Source organism: Homo sapiens, chromosome 6, assembly GCF_000001405.40.
Source record: "Homo sapiens chromosome 6, GRCh38.p14 Primary Assembly".
Lineage (NCBI taxonomy): Eukaryota > Metazoa > Chordata > Mammalia > Primates > Hominidae > Homo > Homo sapiens.
Window position 1 is genome coordinate 15643723 of NC_000006.12, and position 20236 is coordinate 15663958.

A 20236-nucleotide genomic window follows, 5' to 3' on the forward strand; every position below is an offset into this window, starting at 1 on the left:
CAGACAAGCAAACACAAAGGGAATTTATCACCATCAGACTGGACCTACAGGAAATGCTCAAAGGAGTTCTAAACATGGAAATGAAAGAATGATACCTGCTACCATAAAAGCACACATAAGTACAAAACTCAGACCCTATAAAGCAATCGCACAATAAAGACCACAAAGCAACTAGCTAACAACACTATCAAAGGAATAAAACTTCACATATCAATATTAACCTTGAAAGGAAACAGCCTAAATCCTCCACTTAAAAGATACACAGTGGCAAGTTGGATTAAAAAAACAAGACCCAACCTCTGCTACCTTCAAGAGACCTATCTCACATGTAATGACACCCATAGGCTCAAAATAAAGGGATGGAGAAAGATCTTTCATGCAAATGGAAACCAAAAGAGAACAGAGGTTGCTACTCTTGTATCAGATAAAACAAACTTTAAACCAAGAACAGTTAAAAAAAAAAAAAAAGACAAAGAAGGGTACAACATAATGATAAAGAGCTCAATTCAATAAGAAGATATCGTATCCTAAATATATATGTACCCAACATCACAAGACCCAGATTTAGAAACTACTACTAGAACCGAAAAAGAGAGATAGCCATAAAATAACAGTGGGGGACTTCAACACCCCACCAGCAGCACTAGACAGATCATGGCACAAAACTAACAAAGGTTTGGACATAAATTAGACTCTCAACCTAATGGACCTAATGGACATCTACAGGATACTCCACCTAACTACCACAGAATATACATTCTTCTCATCTGTGCATCGAACAGTCTCTAAAATTGACCACATGCTCAATCATAAAGCAGGTCTCAATAAATTCAAAACAATCAAAATCATATCAAGCATCTTCTCAGACCACAGTGGAATAAAATCAAAATAAATACCAAGAGGAACCCTAAGAATCACACAAGTATATGGAAACTAAACAACCTGCTCCTGAATGACTTTTGGGTAAACAATGAAATTAAGGCAGAGATAAAAAAAAATTAATTGAATCAAATGAAAATAAAGACACAACATACCAAAACCTCTGAGATACAGAAAAAGCAGTATTAAGAAGAAAATTTACAGTGCTCCATGACTACACCAAAACACACAAAGATCTCAAATTAACAACTTAACACCACACTTTTAAGAACTAGAAAGGCAAGAACAAACTAAACCCAAAGCTAACAGAAGAAATAATTATGATCAGAGCAGAACTAAATGAAATTGAGACCAAAAAAAAACCATACAAAGTATCAACAACACAAAAAGTTAGATATTTGAAAAGATAAACAAGATTGACAGACTGCTGGCTAGATTAACCAAGAAAAAAAGAAAAGAGATTCAAATAAGCACTATCAGAAATGACAAAAGTGACATCATAACTGACACCACAGAAAGACAAAAGATCATCAGAGACTACTAAGAACATCTCTATGTGCACAAATTAGAAGACCTAGAGGAAATGGATTAATTCCTAGAAACACATCACCTTCCAGACTGAACCAGAAAGAAATTGAAATTCTGAACAGACCAATAACAAGTTACGAAATTCAATCAGTAATAATAATAATAAAAAAAATCTACCAACCAAAAAAAGCCCTAGACCAGATGGATTTACAGCTAAATTCCACCAGATGTACAAAGAACTGGTACCAATCTTACTGAAACTATTCCAAAAAATTGAAGAGAGGAGATTTCTCCTTCACCTCATTCTATGCAACTAGTATTATCCTGATTCCAAAACCTAGCAATGACATAACAAAAAAAGAAAACTACAGGTCAACATTACTGATAAACATAGACACAAAAATCCTCAACAAAATGCTATCAAACTAAATCCAACAGCACATCAAAGAGATAGTTCACCATGATCAAGTGGGTTTAACCCTTGGATGCAAGGACGGTTCAACAAACACAAATCAATGAATGTGATTTACCACATAAACAGAGTTAAAAGCAAAAATAACATAATCTTCTCAAAAGACACAGAAAAGGCATTCGATAAAATTCAATATCCCTTCATAACGAAAATCCTCAACAAACAAGGCATCAAAGGAACATACCTGAAAATACTAAGAGCCATATATGACAAACCCACAGTCAACACAATACTGAATGGGCAATAGTTGAAAGCATTCTCCCTAAGAACTGGAACAAGACAAGGATGTCCACTCTCACCACTCCTATTCAACATAATACTGGAAGTCCTAGCTGGAGCAATCAAGCATGAGAAAGAAATATAAGGTACCCAAATAGGAAAAGATGAAGACAAATTAATTATCTCTGTTTGCTGACAACATGATTACATACCCAGAAAACCCTAAAGAATCCTCCAAAAGACTCATAGACCTGATAAACAACTTCAGTAACTTTTCAACATACAAAAGCAATGTACAAAACTCCACAGCATCAACTCATTTGAGAAACTAAAAAATAAAAATTAAAAAATAAATAAAAATAAAATCTGCAGCATTTTTATACACCAACAACATTCAATCTGAGAACCAAATCAAGAACTCAATCTCATTTACAATAGACACACACACACACACACACACACACACATATACAATACCTAGTATATATAACCAAGGAAGTGAAAGATCTCTACAAAGAGAACTGTAAAACACTGATGAAAGAAATCATAGATGACACGAATGGAAAAACATTCCATGCTCATGGATTAGAAGAATCAATAACATTAAAATAACCACATTGCCCAAAGCAATCTACAGATTCAGTGCAATTCCCATCAAATTACCAATGCCATTTTCCCCAAAATCAGAAAAAAAAAATCTAAAATTCATATGGAATCAAAAAAAGAGCCTGAATAGCCAAAGCAATCCAAAGCAAAAAGAACAAATCTAGAAGCATCACATTACCTGACTTCAAACCATACTACAAGGCTACAGTAACCAAAACATCATAGTACTAGTATAAAAATAGACACACAGATCAATGGAACAGGATAGAGAATCCAGAAATAAAGTCACACAGCTACAACTAACTGATCTTCAGCAACGTCAACAAAAATAAACAATGGGGAAAGGACACCCTATTCAATAAATGGTGCGAGGAAAACTGGCTAGCCATTTATGGATGAACAAAACTGGACCCCTACCTCTTACCATATACAAAAATTAGCTCAAGATTAAAGACTTACATGTAAGACCTCAAACTATAAAAACCCTAGAAGAAAACCTAGAAAAAAACCCTTTTGGGCACTGGCCTAAGCAAATAATTTATGACTAAGACATCAAAAACAATTGTGACAAAAAATGACAAATGGGACTTAAACTAAAGAGCTTCTGCGTAGCAAAAGAAACAACACAATAAACAGACAACCTACAGAATGAGAGAAAGTTTTTGCAAACTATGCATCCATCAAAAGACTAATATCCAGAATCTATAAGGAACTTAAACAAATGAACAAGAAAAAACAACCCCATTAAAAAGTGAGCAAAGGATATGAATAGACTCTTCTCAAATGAAGACATATAAGAAGCCAACAAAGATGAAAAAAATGCTCAGCATCACTAATCATCAGAGCAATGCAAATTAAAACCAAATGAGATACATACAATCTCATGCCAGTCAGATGTGAAAAATGATACATGAACAAAATGGTAACATCAATACCACTACCGTTTATATCTACCAATGGTAGATATAAAACAGAAAGGAACCAATAAGAAATTCTGGAGATTAAAAGTATAATAACTGAAATGAATAATTCACTGGAGGAGTTCAAAAGCACATTTGAGAAGAAAGAATCAACATGATTGAAGATAAACCAATTTAAATTATCAAAATTAACAAATGTTTACCTAGATTGACTAAGAAAAAAAAAAAGACTCAAGTTACTAAAACCATAATGAAGTGGGACTATTACTACGAATCTTACAGAAATAAAAAGGATTATGAGAGAGTGCTATGAACAATGTATGCTAACAAACTGTATAACCTAGCTGAAGTGGACAAATTCCCACAAACACAAAACATACCAAGACTGAATCCTGAAGAAATGGGAAACTGAATCAGTAATAAAAAACCTCAAGATGAAATACCCTGGACTTGATTGCTTCACTGGTGAATTCTACCAAACATTTAAAAAAGAACCAACATTGACCATTCTCAAAATCTTTTTAAAAAGAAAATGAAGAGGAAGGAATAAATCCTAACTCATTCTACAAGCCAGCATTACCCTGATACCAAAGCCAAAGGCATACAAGAAAAGGAAACTACAGACCAATACCCCTTATGAATACTAATGCAAAAATCCTCAACAAAATACTGGCAAACTAAATTCTGCACTGTGTTAAAAGCATTATACACAATTTCCAAGAGGGATTTATTCCTGGAATGCAAGAATGGCTCAACATATGAAAATCTGTCAATGTAATAATATGACAGATTGGTAGAACGAAAGGAAAAAACACATGGTCATCCTAATTCATGGAGAAAAGTTATTTGACAAAATTCAACATCCTTTCATGATAAAAACACTAAAGTAGAAGGGAACAATCTCAACATAATAAAAATTCATAGTTGACATTATACTCAATGTTGAAAGACTGAAAGCTTTTCCTGTAAGATCAGGATCAAGACAAGGAACAAGACAAGGATGCCTGCTTTTTCCACTTCGATTCAACACAGTACTGGATGGTCTAGCCAGAGCAATTAGGCAAGAAAAAAGAAATAAAAGGTATTCAAATTGGAATGAATGAAGCAAAATGATTTCTATTCATAAATGATATGATCTTATATGCAGAAAACCCTGAAAGTTCCACACAAAAAACTATCAGGATAAAGGAACTCAGCAAAGTATGATATTAAATCAACACACAACAATTAAGTCAGTTGTTTCTATATACTACCAATAAATAATTCAAAAAAAGCAATTAAGAAAACAATTTCATAAATGATAGCATCAAAAAATACTTAGGAATTAACAAAGATGATGAAAGACTCATACAATGAAAACTACTAAACAATACTGAAAGAAATTAAAGAAGACATCAATAAATAGAAAAAGCACTCCATGTTAATGGATTGGAATACTTAACATTGTTATCTGTAATAAGCAAAATGACCAGATTCAATTTAATCCCAATCAAAACCCCAATGACATTCTTTGCAAACAATAGAAAATACATCTTAAAATTCATATGAAATCTCAAATGACCTTCAACAGCCAAAACAATCTTGACAAGAAAAACTCTTAGAAGAAAACACAGGGGAAAATCCTCATACTCATTAGAGTAGCTATAATAAAAAACAAGAAAATAGCGAGCGTTGGTGAGGATAGGAAGAAATTAGAACCTTTATACAATACTGATGGGAAAGTAAAATGATACAGTCACTATGGAAAACAGTATGGTGTTTCCAGAAAGAATAAAACACAGAATTACCGTATGATCCAGTAATTCTACTGCTGGGTATATACCCAAAGGAACTGAAAGCAAGGTGTCAAAAAGGTACTTGTCACTCATGTTCCTAGCAGCAAGCAGTATTTAGAACAGCCAAAAAGTGGAAGCAACTCAAGTGTCCATCAACAGATGAATAAACAAAATATGGTACATACTTACAATAGAATATTCAGCTTTTCAAAGAAAGAAAATTCTGACACATGCTGCAACATAAACTTTGAAAACATTATGCTAAATGAAATAAGCCGGTCACACACAAAAGTACTTTATAATTGCACTTATATGATGTTCCTAGAATAGTCAAATTCACAGAGAAAGCAAATAGAATGATGGTTGCCTGGGATGGAGAGGAGGGAGTAGAAATGAGAGTTGTTGGTTAACAGGTACAGAGTTTCCATTTTGCAAGATGAAAAGAGTTTTTGGGATTGGATGCACAACCATGTGAACGTACTCAGCACTACTAAGCTTAAGAATGGTTAAGATACATTTTATGCTATGTATATTACATTTTTAAAATTAAAAATATGATTTAAACATTTGCTATTTAAAATGGTCTTTCTCACATTCAATTTTAGTTCCAATGGGAAAAGACTGTTTCAGTGCGATGTATAAACACATTATTGACACCGTCTTACGGATGTAAATTTTCTATATTAACTCCTAAAATGCAACCCTATCCCCAAAAAATGTACCACACAAAAAGTTGATAGCTCTAACATAAATTTTTCAGTAAAATGAAGTTATTTCAACTAAGTTTCTAGAGAAAAAATAAAGATAAAATGTAAATAGTAAACAATACATTACTGATTAATTTGTACTACACTTCCTTTCATGTTCATTTCTGTTCTTCACACAACAAAACAAAGGAAGCAAATATCATATTAAGCACTTTTCACTTCAGAGAAGAAAAATCTCTAGATTTAGCAACCATAAAAAGAAACCTAATGAAGAACTAGAAAGGAGAAAGGAAAATGTAGGTATCAGTGATTGTGTCATAACAAATACAGATAAGGAAAAGCAGCATACCCTCTCCCACATACATCTTTACCACACATCTGTCAAATGGCACATTAGTAAGCACAGAAATATGTATAATGACATACTTTAACCATATACTGTATTTATTTATTTATTTTTTGAGATGGAGTTTCGCTCTTGTTGCCCAGGCTGGAGTGCACTGGCACGATCTCGGCTCACCGCAACCCCTGCCGAGATCGCACCATTGCACTCCAGTGATTTTCCTGCCTCAGCCCCGAGTAGCTAGGATTGCAGGCATGCACCACCAGGCCCAGCTAATTTTTGTATTTTTAGTAAGAGACAGGGTTTCACCAAGTTGGCCAGGCTGGTCTCAAACTCCTGACCTCAAGTGATCTGCCTGCCTCAGCCTCCCAAAGTGCTGGGATTATAGGTATGAGCCACCGCGACCGGCCTCATTGTGGTTTTGATTTGCGTTTCCCTGAAGACTGACAACGTTGAGCATCTTTTCATGTGCTTATCGGTCGTTTGCATATCTTCTTTTGAGAAATGTCTATTCAACTCTTTTGCCTATTTCTTCATGGGGTTGTCTTTTTATTGTTAAGTTTTAAAAGTTCTTTATATATTCTGGATACATGTTGTTCCTCATATATATGATCTGCAAATATTTTCTCACATTCTATGTTTTGTCACTCCACTATCTTGATGGTGTTCTCTGACACACAAAAGTATTTGATTTTGACCAAGTCCATTGTGTCTAATTTTTATCTTGTTGTTTGTGCTTTTGATGTTATATCTAAAAAGACCATACATTTTAATATTAAACTCCATGTCAATAAAAGAATGGATTGGAAAAGAAATGACATAAGAATCAAAGCAAAAAAACAAAATTATTGGGGACTCAAATCCAGAATCAATTTTCTTGTAATAAAGAAGCCGTACATATTATCATAAAGTATTGACTTGTAAATACAATAGTGATCTGTCTGCTCAAAGTTTGAATGGACTTTGTACTAATGAGTGAAAAGTGAAAGCCCTCAAGGAAAATAATACATAAATAATTTCCAATCACTGCATTAAGATAAAATTTAGCTGTTTTAAGGCTTTTAACCTACAAAATTAAAAGATATTTTTGGTCAGTAAAAAAGTCAGAAGTATAACCTTCCTCTACAAATGAAACACTTACCTGCTAAGTAATTCTAATCCAGCAGAGTACTTTGGCAAAAATGGAACAGTCCTGCCCAAAAGAAACACTTATTAAAACTGTTCTTGATTTAGCCAACTGAAAAAAAAAAAAAGGTACATACAAGAATTTTGACATTGTCAATTGTAATATATTTTAAAATCACTAATGACAATTATTAAACTTTTAGAGAAATGTGTTTTATTTCAGAGTTAATGTACTGTATGTAACACACTATCAACCATCATTTTGCCCCAGAGATTCTCTTCAGCATACAATAAATTATTTAATATAATGTTGGATAAGAACAAATATGTAAGATCACAGTTCATTTCTAGGTTGAAAATGAAATCTGGTCACATGCTTTACTTTATTAAAAAAATGGACAAACAGCACAATCCTGGTGTTTTCATACAAAACAGGTAACATAGCTGAAGAGGCTCATTTGCCAAGTAGTATTTCATCATTAATTTGCTTTTCAATAATTCAGGACTTTTACTTTTGCTCTTATACAAATTAAAAATGACTAATTGTGATCAAATAATACTCATTGACTGTCAGAGTAAAACAATTATACTTCACCATTTTTTCAACCATTTCACGATTTTATTAGAAAATTTTCCTGTTACAAAATTTAGAAAGAATCGATAAATTATTTTGTAGTCAGATGCACTCAACAAATCTAAGGTTCATTAATATAACTACACAATTGTGAATACACCAAAAGTTGTATGAAATTTAAGTCACAGTTAAGTTAAAATCTTAGCACAAGCTTACCTGGGTTTGCTTTTCACTTTTGCTTCTCTTGACTTGTCACTTAAAGTCTTCAGCCTATAATTCAATATAAAATATAATATTTTTACAAGTCAAGAGATTATTATTATTTTTTTGAGACAGGGTCTCACTCTGTCGTCCAGGCTGGAGTGCAGTGACATGTACATTACTCACTGCAGCCTCAATCCTGGGCCCAAGTGATCCTCCCACCTCATCCTCCTGAGTAGCTGGGACTATAGTCACCCGCCACCACGCCTGGGTAATTTCTTTTTTTATTTAGTGGAGACGGAGTCTTGCTATGTTGCCCAAGCTGGTCTCATACCCCATGCCTCAAATGATCCTCCTGCCTCAGCCTCCCAAAATGCTGGGATTACAGGCATGAGCCACCCCACCCAGCCCAGAGATTTTTCAACCACAAATTTTCACATGTTAAAATTTTAGGTCAGATAAGCTACTTTTTTTTTTTTAAGCAAGAATTAAGTACCTCAAAAGACAACAAATATTTGAGTGTTTACTATATGTTAGATACTACAAACGGAAAATCTGTAGCAAATTTTTTTTTAAGAGATGGTCTCACTCTGTTGCCCAGGCTAGAGTATAGTGGTGCGATTGTAGCTTACTGTAACCTCAAACTCTTGGGCTCAAGCAATCTTCCCACCTCAGCCTCCTGGGTAACAAGGATGACAGGTATGTGCCACCATGCCCAGCTATTTGTTTCACTTTTATTTTGGTCTCACTATGTTGCCCAGTCTGGTCTCTATCTCCTGGCCTCAAGTGATCTTCCCACCTCAGCCTCCCCATAGAGCTGGGATTATAGGTGTGTGCTACCACGCCAGGCCTTATTTTCATATTCTTACTTACCCCAAGCCCCTTTTTTAGAAACCAAGATTCCTAAATGTGATCAGACCACAAAAACATAATTTATCTGGCATCTTTAGAAAAAGTAATGTTCCACATAGGAGAAATCGATAGGTAACAAAGATATCTAAGCAGCACACTTCATTAAGTAGATGCTACCCAGGCCTTCAAATCTCTTTAAGCATCCACAGTATTTGAAATTTTAGTTGAGAAAAAGCTTTTTAAAATATATTACAAACTTCTTTCATTAAAGAGGATTTTGTATATCTCATTTAACATTTTGTGATGACTCAGGATCAGTATTAAGAATATCATTGACTACATTTTGCAGCAAAACAGTACTCTCCCCTGATACTTCTGAGCTAGAAATGCATCTTCATCTATTAACCTGAAACCAATCTATGGTAGTTTTGTGTTTGTTTGGGCTCTTATGTCTACCTTTCCTAAATTTTCTTTCTCTACCATTGGTCACCTGGATGTCAGCTCTCACTCACTGCTTCTGCCAGCTATTTAATTCTAGCAGTCTCCTCCCCTCTACTTGCTGCTTTTAAATTATTGCACTGGAAAACAGATAAATGGGCTAGAGCTGCATATATAGAATTAACAGACTCTTTTAATGTAAAATATGATGTTCATAAACTGTACAATTTATTTTCACTTCACTGGCCCAGTTTTACTTTATTTTGGCTGTGGACTCTGTTACAGATAACTGAGGTTGCCAATAAGTGAGTGCTACAGTATGCAGTAATATCACATAAAATGAGATATCATGTACACATTCTTCTCAATCACTTCAACAAGTACTCATTTGTAAATAGAAACTGAAAATATAGGCCACAGTACTACTGCTAGCCCCTACAAAGTCTTTGTAAAAACAGAAATAGCTGCTCCTTCCTCCAGACACTTTACTGCCATCAGCCAGAAACTGTCCTAATACACAAGTTGACTCTTGCATGAATGCCTCAACTAATGCATGGTACAGTATACAATCTGCACAACTATGCATGCTGGTTCTGAAACAGGATTCCATCTTTTCTGTCTATAACGTCTGATTAAGCACCATATGGGGACTTCTGATAAACTGCATTTTTTTAAAACCAAATTAGAATGCCAATGTCATACAAAGAGTTTCATATTACTCTATGATCTTTTTCAAAAAATAAAATATTGACAAGATCAATTCCTCTGCAATATTCAAAAGATTCAGCAATCTCTTTAATACAAAAGTAATTAGTATACCTCTCTAGATAAGTCTAGGAAATTGTGTAAAAGTCTAATATAAATTTCTCAGTTTATCCTGGAAACTAGTAAATCTGGTTTAAACCAAGATTAAGCAAAACCTAGGGAAAACAATTTTTATGGCCATGCTCTACCATTTCCACTATAAAGTTTGATCAAAATACTTAGTTGGAACATCTCAGGCAAAATTATCCTAGTTATATACAGCAGTGCCTCATACTCAAAATGATTCTCGCATTATTTTTAGTGATTCAGGAGAATTCTATACAGCTGAGTGTGAAAGGGAATTCCTAAGATCCTCTTTGGACTACTCTAATTATATGATCCAGCAAATCTCTAAGTTGGTATTTCAACTATTTATTTCTAAAACAAACTTTTACTTTCTTAATTGTAATATGCCAAGTTTGGAATTCTCTTCTCTGCCCCCCTACCCCATCTCCTCCCCGCCACCGACAAAAAGAAAAAACCGGTTTGAAATGAAAGGGAAAAAAGGAGTGTTACAGGGAACAGAAAGTAAAATTGTTGGAAGATTCAACAAAAGATTCCCCATGTGGCTCTTTAACAGTCATCTGTTTTAAAAATTGGTCTTTAACCAAATTTAATGTGTGAAACTTATCTGATCTGGATTTGAACAAACCAACTGTAAAAAGTCGTTTCTAAGAACAAAAGAAGTCTGATTATGGACTGCATAATTGATAATATCAAAGAATTAGTGTTAATTTTATTAGTTATGACATCAGCACTGCATTTATGTAATGTGTTTCCTTTTTAGTGATGCAAGCTGACATATCACAGGTATAGTAGGCAAGTCTGAGATTTACATTATAAATAAAGGGAGAGACAAGGCAAACGTGGCAGTATCTGAAAACTGTTGAATCTCAGCAATGGATATATGTGGTTCATTGTGTTATTCTATTTGTGTGTGTGTTTGAGACTTTGTAAAATACAATTTTTTTTTTGAGACAGGGTCTTGCTGTGTCACCCAGACTGGAGTGCAATGGAGCAATCATAGCTCACTGCAGCCTCAAGCTCCTGGCCTTAAGCGATCCTCCCACCTTAGCCTCTCAAGTAGCTGGGACTACAGGCTCACACCAGCACACCCAGCTAGTTTTTAAAAACCCTTTGTAGAGACAGGGGTCTCCCTATGTTGCCCAGGCTGGTCTTGAACTCATGGGCTCAAGCTATCCTCCCACCTCAGCCTCCCCAAGTGCTGGGATTAGAAGCATGAACCACCATATCCAGCCAAAAAACATTTTTAATAACAAAAACAATCTTTTAGGTATTCATCTTTTCTCACCACTTCTTCTCCAAATAAATGGCCAATGTGCCAAAATGCAGAAAAGAAACTGTTGGAGAAAACAAAGTAGCTATAGGAAAGTTGGAAATAGTCATCTTTTTCCCTGCTAAAAAATAAAAACAAAGTAAAAAACAAAGTAGCTATAGGAAAGTAAAACGAAGTTAAAAAAAAAAAAAAGTAAAAAAACAAAGTAGCCATAGGAAAGTTGAAAATAGTCATCTTTTTGCCTGCTAAACTTTCTTGATTGTTTCCAACTATTATTCTTAAGATGAAAAATATAAAAGATCAGATATACTTAAGAAAGTAACAAAAAGCCAAAAAGGTATTTTCTAAAATAACATCCTCAAAACCCAGAATTCACCTGAAATTAGCCCACTATTTTTATTTTAGGATAACTCCAGTTTCTCTGGAGAACTTATTCTGTCCTGGAAACAACCCACTTATAACGTCTGTTTAATGTCCTACAATATCATGACATGCTGTGAAGGAAATACTGACCTAGGGGGAATATTCCAGTTTCCTCAAATGTAAAATGGTAGTATTATACTCAACCATAAAGATTTGCCATGAGAATTGAATAAAATTCCAAATATGACCTTAATGGCATTCTGGAAACTACAGAGCTAATTTCAAATGAAAGTTATAATAAAGGTGATCCCCATCAAGAAAGCCGAGAAACCAATGTACTACATTACTGGGCTAAGGTGAAATAAAGCAGAGGTTCCCAATGTGCCTACAAAAGGCTTGCCCAGCCCTATTCTTGGTCTTCTCCCAAGTACCATACACCCCATGAACACATAAGTGCTGTGTGAGCATATTAATATATAGACTAAGTGAGCCATCTGACAACTATTTTCTACTAATGACAACTTTCAAGTTCAAAGCACTAAACCTCAAATTCGTCATAAAGTTCAATAATTTTATTTTTAGATAGCTCCAACGACTTCACCTTAATTTGACACCAGCATATTTATGTCTTTGAGCTTTGTAGAAAATACTAAAATGGGGGCTTCTTACTGAAAAAGGGGGGTGACTCACAAAACTGCTTAGACAAAAAGTGTAAAAGGATGTAAATAAGCCTGGGCAACATGGCGAAACCCTGTCTTCCAAATATACACAAATTAGCCAGGCGTGGTGGTGTATGCCTGTAGTCCCAGCTACTTGGAAGGCTGAGGTGGGTGGATTGCTTGAACCCAGGAGGTTGAGGCTGCAGTGAGCCATGAGCATACCACAGCACTGCAGCCTGGGTGACAGAGTGAGACCCTGTCTCAGAGAAAAAAAGAAAAGAAAAAGATGTAGATAAACAGAATGATGCATTGAGTACTACAATGACTGCTGAGATCTGCCGGTGATTCAACAGCGTGCGGAACCTGCATGACGTTTCATTTACTTGTAACTCAATTTCCAACTGTCTACATCATTGGCTATTAGGAAAGGTGAGGACGATTGCTTTAAAGCACCACAGAAATGTATGAATTAGCATATTTTGTCATAAGGCACATCCAATCTATTACATTTTCACATCAGTGTTCATCATTTTTTTTCTCTCTTAAGCGAGATCAGGGAAAAGCCAAAGCCTCAATCACACTTAAAAGTGCAAATGGCCTAAGGTACAAAGCCTAAGAAATTCACACAAAAGCTGCACAGACTCAGGAAAGAAAGATGAATTTAGACTATCTACATCCTAATGCCTTTATCCTAAGTCCCAAATACATGGCTTCAAGTTCTCACTTCTCACCTGAGCGCAAGAGAAATTTCCAATTGCTTCTCAGCTGTCAAGCAGCTAGCTCATCACAAATTCACTGTTAACTGTTCCTTCTCTCTCAAACCTATTGTTAAATTCTTTAATGCTGGTATATGACACCATTTATCTAAGATACTTCCAAATTCACATTCTCAATTTCTGCACCTTTTTCATCTCCCACTGCTGTCTAATCTGACCAGTGCCTAACACATCTATTCCCTCCTTTAAACTTCTATCAGCACTGCCTTATCTTCTCTCATCTGGACCTTCATTACAGCCTCCTAAATAATCTCCCTCTACCCCATCCCCTATCTTCCTATCACACAGCCTCTCAAGTTATTCTTCCAGAAACACAGAAATATTTTTCCAGAAATACAGGTAGGCCATCTTCTCCTTAGCCTGATTTTTAGCCACAGAACTTATGGCCGTCTAGATATTCTAGACAGTCTGCTACTAGAACGAGAGTAAGGATCTTACTTGCTATCTGGTTTGTTCTCTGCTATATCCCCAGTACCTAAAATAGTGCCTGCCACATAGTAAGCACTCAATAAATATTTGACAAATTAATTAAGCAAAGCATTGAAGATATTCTATTATTAGGCACTAAACTTCCTTTCCAGCTTCATCTCCCAGGACTGCTTCCATCTCTGAAATGTGCTTATCCAAATCTATCGCAATTTCTCCTCATTATTCAAGGCCTAGTTTTAGAAACCCCTTCCTCTTTGAAGCCTTCTGTAAATGCATCCTAACTAATGACTCTTTCTTCGGACTCACATACCACACTATTTGTATCTTTAACATTCTGTTCATTCTGCTTTGCTTTATATCAGCACCAGTCTAGGGCATCTGGTGGACAGAGACTGTTTTAGACACCTTTGTACCTGCAGGATCTGGCCCAATATATAGACATTGTTTAGGAAAGACTAGGCAAACCTGAGCATATGGGCTCTCAAATCTTTTTTAAGCTTCTATGAAAAAGGACACTTTGAGTGCCTAGTCTAATGTCTGGCACTGGCACTTAATAGGAACTCTGTAGATATTTATGAAATCAAGTTGAATACTGAGATTATTTTCTCTTTAAGATGATGATTAATCCCGGAAAAGTCAACATTTCAAGCAACACTTCACCATTTGACCACATTGTAATTTAGATGACTGGCTCCAACCCCCTTTGTGTAGGTTTTGGTAGATACTACAAGGACGGAAGAAGACAGAATGAGGACACTGGGCAGGGGTGCAGGTGGGCGGCAGGGGCAGTGAGGGCTTTGAGGGGGAAACACCCTCTAGCTGCAACAATAGCAGGTTTTTTTATCCCCAACCACAGGAACCCAGTGCATCACAAATAGGAAACACCAGCCTGTGACAGGCAGCTGTAAACCCGTCAGTAAATCTGATTTTCAGTTCCCTGAAGGGTTTGCATGCCTAAATACCTCAATCCTGAGGCCTTTGGTCGTAACAGCTCAAAAGGTAAAAGTCAAAGACCAGAGTGGCTTCGAAGTATGTACTTTGGTATGTCCAAAAGTCTTCCCCAGAGCTCAAGCCAATCTCTGTAAAAATGGATATTTTATGTGAACTCTCCAAAAGGCTCCAAGAATTCTGACTCAGTTAAATCAAATTACAACTCACTTTAGGTGAGGGGAAAAGATCTTTGAGTGAAGCTCAGAACCAATCCTCTTCAGTCTGTGGCCTAAGGCTGGCCCACCACCCAATTAAGGCAGGAAGAATGTGATGTAATCACTAGTTTTTCTCAAGGTTGACATAATTGTTACTACGCATAAAAATTTACAAAAAAGGCCATAAGTCCATGGACAACCTAGAGCTCCCCCCAAACCACCAGTAATCTCTACACTGCCCTTAAAGAACAATGGTCTTAAGCTGCACTTTTTCAAAGTTTGAATGGAATGTAGAAATTTATTCTTATTGGACATGGTTTCATCACCAAAGTGACATTCTGAGACTGATAAGGAATCGTTCTATTTTACTAAAAATGAAAAAAAGTAAATTTATCTAGAGTTAGGGCCTTCATATGAGTTTTCAGAAAGTGAAAATGATCACAGAAGCTCCGAAGAGAGGATGCTGCTCTGGGCGACAGCGGGAGCTGCACTGGCTGCACTGAAGGAGCCCAGAAATGCCTGAGGCCTTCCATTCCATCCCTGGGGCAGCCTGCACACCCGGTGTTTCCAATTATTTTAGAAGGCAGCTGCTCTGGCTTCCACACAATTGCTCTGCCACCAAGTGTTCTACAGAAACGCCAGGTCCAATGTGATAGCTCTGGGTGGCCAGGGCCATGTTTTTTCATTTTTTCTTTCTTTTTTAAGAGATGGGGTTTCTTTCTTTTTTTTTTTTTTTGAGACGGAGTCTCCCTCTGTCACCCAGTCTGGAGTGCAGTGGTGTGATCTCGGCTCACTGCAACCTCCACCTCCTGGATTCAAGAGATTCTTCTGCCTCAGCCTTCCAAGTAGCTGGAATTACAGACGCACGCCACCATGGCCAGCTAATTTTTGTATTTTTTAGTGGAGACGGGGTTTCACCACGTTGGCCAAGCTGGTCTTGAACTCCTGACCTCATGATCCGCCTGCTTCGGGCTCCCAAAGTGCTGGGATTACAGGTGTGAGCCACCGCACCCAGCCAAAAGATGGGGTTTCTTTGTGTTGCCCAGTCTTGAACTCCTGGGCTCAAGGGATCCTCCTGCCTCAGCCTCCCAAGTAGCTGGGACAACAAAATTGTTGGAAGATTCCATAAAGCTTCCCCATGTGGCCCTTTAACAGTCGTCTGTTTTAAAAATTGGTTTTTAAACAGATTTAATGTGTGAAACTTATCTGATCTGGATTTGAACAAACCAACTGTAAAAAGTCATTTCTAAGCACAAAACAAATCTGATTATGGACTGCATAATTGATAATATCAAAAAATTAGTGTTAATTTTATTATCTATGATATCAGCATTGCATTTATGTAATATGTTTCTTTTTTAGTGATGCAGCTCACGTCTCTTTCATCTTTGAATTCCACATTACCAACATATAATAAACACATGTGTGCTGTGTTTAGCGTCATCTTTTCTCCTCAAGGCAAAAATAATCAGTTATGTAAAGGAGGTTGATCTCAAGCTGAATATGGAAAAGTTTAACCGAACAGCTTAAATGTAGGAAATTGAGGACCTGAAGAAAGTGAACATCAGGCACTAGAGGTCCGGGTCTACTGGGAGACTGACATCACTTGGAGATGAGTTGTTTCTCCACCAGGTGACAGGCTAATGGCACACACTGACAGTCCAGTGGTTTGTCAGCTGAAAGTGACCTGTACAGGAGAAAGCCAACAAAAGACCTAATGAAGCCCTCTCAGGATGTCTAGCTCCAAAATGGCCCCAGACTACGGCATCTTTAAGAAGTCAAGTCAGTTTCCAAGGGGTTCTAACTAGATCCCTTTGGCATGTCTCTCCTTAACTAACTCTAAACGTTTAGGGTTACCCTGATCTCCCAGGATGGTTTGTGCCCCAGCAGTCCAGAGCCCACTCCAGAATCTACATTCCGGGGTAAAATGCCTTCTTACAAAGGTCAGGAGCATGAATGCTTCTGAGGCAACCATGTGACCTAGAGTTATAGTAACTACAAGATGGGCTCTTGTGCCATCAAGGAATTCCATGAAGTACTAACAGGAGAATAATGGCCACTCTCATGCTACAAATGGGCCATTTCAGCATCACACCAAAAAGTTTTCAATACAATAATTTACGCTCTGAAAAGAAGGTACTTTTACTAAATAGGGAGAACAAAATGCAAGCACGCAAGCACACCCATCAGTGAATGACTCCGAGCGTCCATAACTTTCTAAACACCAAACTAACAAAAATGATTGACGCATGGTAAGTGCTCAAGCGTTTGACAGTTTGTTATTCAACGCCCAATGTGCAAATAGTATTAACATTTTTGTCCATTAAGATAAAATTTTGGCTAACATCTTTCTCATTAGAAATTTAAAACGAGGCTGGGCGCAGTGACTAATACCCATAATCCCACCACTTCAGGAAGCCTAGGAGGGAGGATCTCTTGTACCCAGGAGTTGGAGGCTGCAGCGAGCTATAATAGCGCCACTGCGCTCCAGCCTGGGCAACAGAGCGAGAACTTGTCACTTTAAAAAAAAGGGGGGGAGGGTGGGCCGGGAACGGTGGCACACGCCTGTAATCCCAGCACTTTGGGAGGCCAAGGCGGGAGGATCACAAGGTCAGGAGTTCGAGACCAGCCTGGCCAATATGGTGAAACCCGTCTCTACTAAAAAATACAAAAATAAGCCGGGCGCCTCTAGTCCCAGCTACTCAGGAGGTGGAGCCAGGAGAATCGCTTGAATCCGGGAGGCGGCGGTTGCAGTGAGCCGAGATCACGCCACTGCACTCCAGTCTGGGTGACAGAGCAAGACTCCATCTCAAAAAAAAGGGGGGTGGGGGGGAGAAATTTAAAACAGTATGAGTGGAAATGTTCTCACATTCAGTGCATCCTCCAACAGGATTTGTAAGCTAAAGTTGAAAGATCCTTTTCAAAGACAGATCTTTTTCACTTTAAAGGAATGAAAAAATTAAAATTAAGCACTAAGTAACAATACTGACATGATGCTTGCTTCGTGTTTTACACATTAATTCATTAATCCTTGTAATAACCTTTTAAGTACCATCATTATCCCCATTTTACGGTAGCGGAAACAGTACATTGAGGCAAGGCAGCTGAGTAACTACGTTTGATTTAGTGGTCGAGCCAGGATGCCTAGGCAATCTGGCGCCAGAGTCTCGGCCTGTGGTTCCCAGGCGTTGGTGCCCACTGGAATCCCCTGGGGATCTTTAAAACGCCGTCTCCAGGCACTCTGGTCAACAGGTAGGGGGTGAGACCTGGGCATCAGAACTCTGAAAGGTTCCCAGGTGATTCTAAGCAAAGTTTGGGAACCGCTGGGTATTAAAAGCATTCCTAAAGTTCTGTCGCTTCTCCTGCTTAGGAGTTCCTTCGCCGAGGCGCTGAGCTCACGGCAAAGGTAGAGAAAGGACGCAACGGGGAGGGGCGGCCAGCCTTGCCAAGGGTTAGGCCGGCGAGCCGGGCGTGAAAGCCGAGACGCGGCGCGGAAGGCTGTGGCCGGAGGGTGCAGGCTGCTGCGCGGTGCGATCCGACTCGGGGAGGGTGGCTGGCCCAGCTCCAGGTGCGCACGAGCAGGTGTCTGCTGGGCCGAGGGGCGCAGGCCACTGTGCCGCGGGGGCGGAAGCGGTGAGGCGCGCTGGCTTCTCACATGACTTCCCTCCAGGGCCCAGCTGATGCTGCCGGGAAAGGACCGCAGGGTCCCACACCCCCCCCGGGCGCTCCGCTGCGCCGCCGAGCGCCTCCCGGTCCTGGGGGGTGCGCGTCACAGGCGGCCCGCAGGGACCTAAGTTACTTTGCGCCGCCCGACGCGAGGACGCCGGGAAGTTCGTTACTTTCCTCGGCGGGGCGGGGCGGGGAGGTGCGGGACAGGACGGACCCTGGACCGTGGCGCGGGGAAGGGAGCGAGGCAGGGGCATCCCAGGCGGCGGCCCGGCCCCCTCAGGTCCCTTTTCGTCGCCCACCGTATACCCACCCGGAGGTGAAATCCTGCTGCACGCTCAGCAGCCGCTCGCGAAGGGTCTCCAGCATTGCCGCCGCCGCCGGTCTCCTCTCCTCAGGCCTCGGGCTGCTGCTGCCTCTGTCGCCCCCTGGGTCCCACGCCGCCAACCCCGCGCTGTCACCGCGCGCCCCGCACTCCCACTACCGGCCCCGCCCCCGGTCTGGTCCTCGCCGCCGCGCCGCAACCCCAGCCCCTTCCGCGTTCCCGCCCCGCGCGCGCCAGGCTCGCGCAGCCGCAGTGGACTGCGCCGGGCTCGGGCTGCGGAAAAGGGGCGGGTCTTCCCCCGACCGAGAGGGCCAGTAGCTCCTCGGCTCATTCCTATCCCGCACCAGGCCTTCTCGTTTTTTTTTTTTTTTCTTTAAAATGGAAGCGGCATCGTGAAAGGATGATTTAACTCGAAGCCTCCTTTGAGGGAAGTGTTGGCTTTTACGTTTTGGAAGAGAATTGGATCTCTCTCTTCAATAGGCGATGTGCACAAATCATTGCATGGATTCTAGGTCCAGGATCTGACCCCACTGGCTTTCACCTTGAATGAGACAGTCAAATATTGAGCCTCGGTTTCTTCATTCATAAAATGGCAATAATAGTCGACTGTCTCGACATTCTTACTTTCCACTCTCTCTTTACCCCCCCAGGCTTTTGTGCCCTACACACCAAAGGTGATCGCCTTTCGCGAGTCACCAGTGACTTCCATGTTGCTGATGCCTTTTATTACTTCTCTGCCCTGATTTTTTCTCCACCTCTCAGTGGCTTTCAATGCAGTTTATCATCCCCATCCTTAAAACACTTTCTTCTCTTGCTAAGCACTCCATAGTTCCTCTCTCCCTTCCGCTCCACCCCTTCTCCTATTTTAATAGCCACTCCCAAGGCTACAGTCCAGCCTCCCCAGCTCTTCTCTCTTCTCCAGATGTGTTGTTCCATAGATGGATAGCATAGAGTCTATCCATTACCACGCTGTAAATTCTGTCAAGGAACCGATGACTCCCACAGCTCTATCTTCTGCCCTGTCCTTCCTCCCTCTCCGTCAATTCATACCAGTTGCTTACTCATGTAAGCATGTATACAACATGTATCCAAAAGGCATCTCAGACCAACATACACAAAATTGAAAATTTCAT

The 20236-nt window shown here is 39.1% G+C and overlaps 1 protein-coding gene across 8 annotated transcripts in view, besides 2 other annotated features; it reads right to left on the reverse strand.

The window, feature by feature from the left end:
- The window catches only part of DTNBP1 (dystrobrevin binding protein 1), a 140252-nt gene extending 120916 nt beyond the window's left edge, over positions 1–19336 (reverse strand). The window contains exons 1-4 of one of the 8 annotated variants that reach the window (NR_036448.3): positions 19092–19306; positions 16661–16799; positions 8365–8418; positions 7591–7641 (exon numbers count right to left, since the gene is read on the reverse strand). Coding sequence is in view for 6 of the 8 variants with exons in the window: in NM_032122.5 (NP_115498.2) it covers positions 7591–7641; positions 8365–8418; positions 19092–19147 (161 nt within the window). In the remaining 2 variants the exon portion in view is untranslated. Of the gene's footprint in view, positions 1–7590; positions 7687–8364; positions 8419–16660; positions 16800–19091 lie in introns of those variants that run through there. The other 7 variants (NM_032122.5, NM_001271667.2, XM_047419394.1 and 4 more) reach the window with 7 other exon arrangements.
- Positions 18513–18562: an enhancer, noted in NCBI's record as "active region_24087". NCBI's record gives its function as "activates an Ori minimal core promoter by ATAC-STARR-seq in GM12878 lymphoblastoid cells {active_cell/tissue: GM12878}" and the evidence as "EXISTENCE:reporter gene assay evidence [ECO:0000049][PMID:35858748]".
- Positions 18793–19302: a silencer, noted in NCBI's record as "silent region_16953". NCBI's record gives its function as "represses an Ori minimal core promoter by ATAC-STARR-seq in GM12878 lymphoblastoid cells {active_cell/tissue: GM12878}" and the evidence as "EXISTENCE:reporter gene assay evidence [ECO:0000049][PMID:35858748]".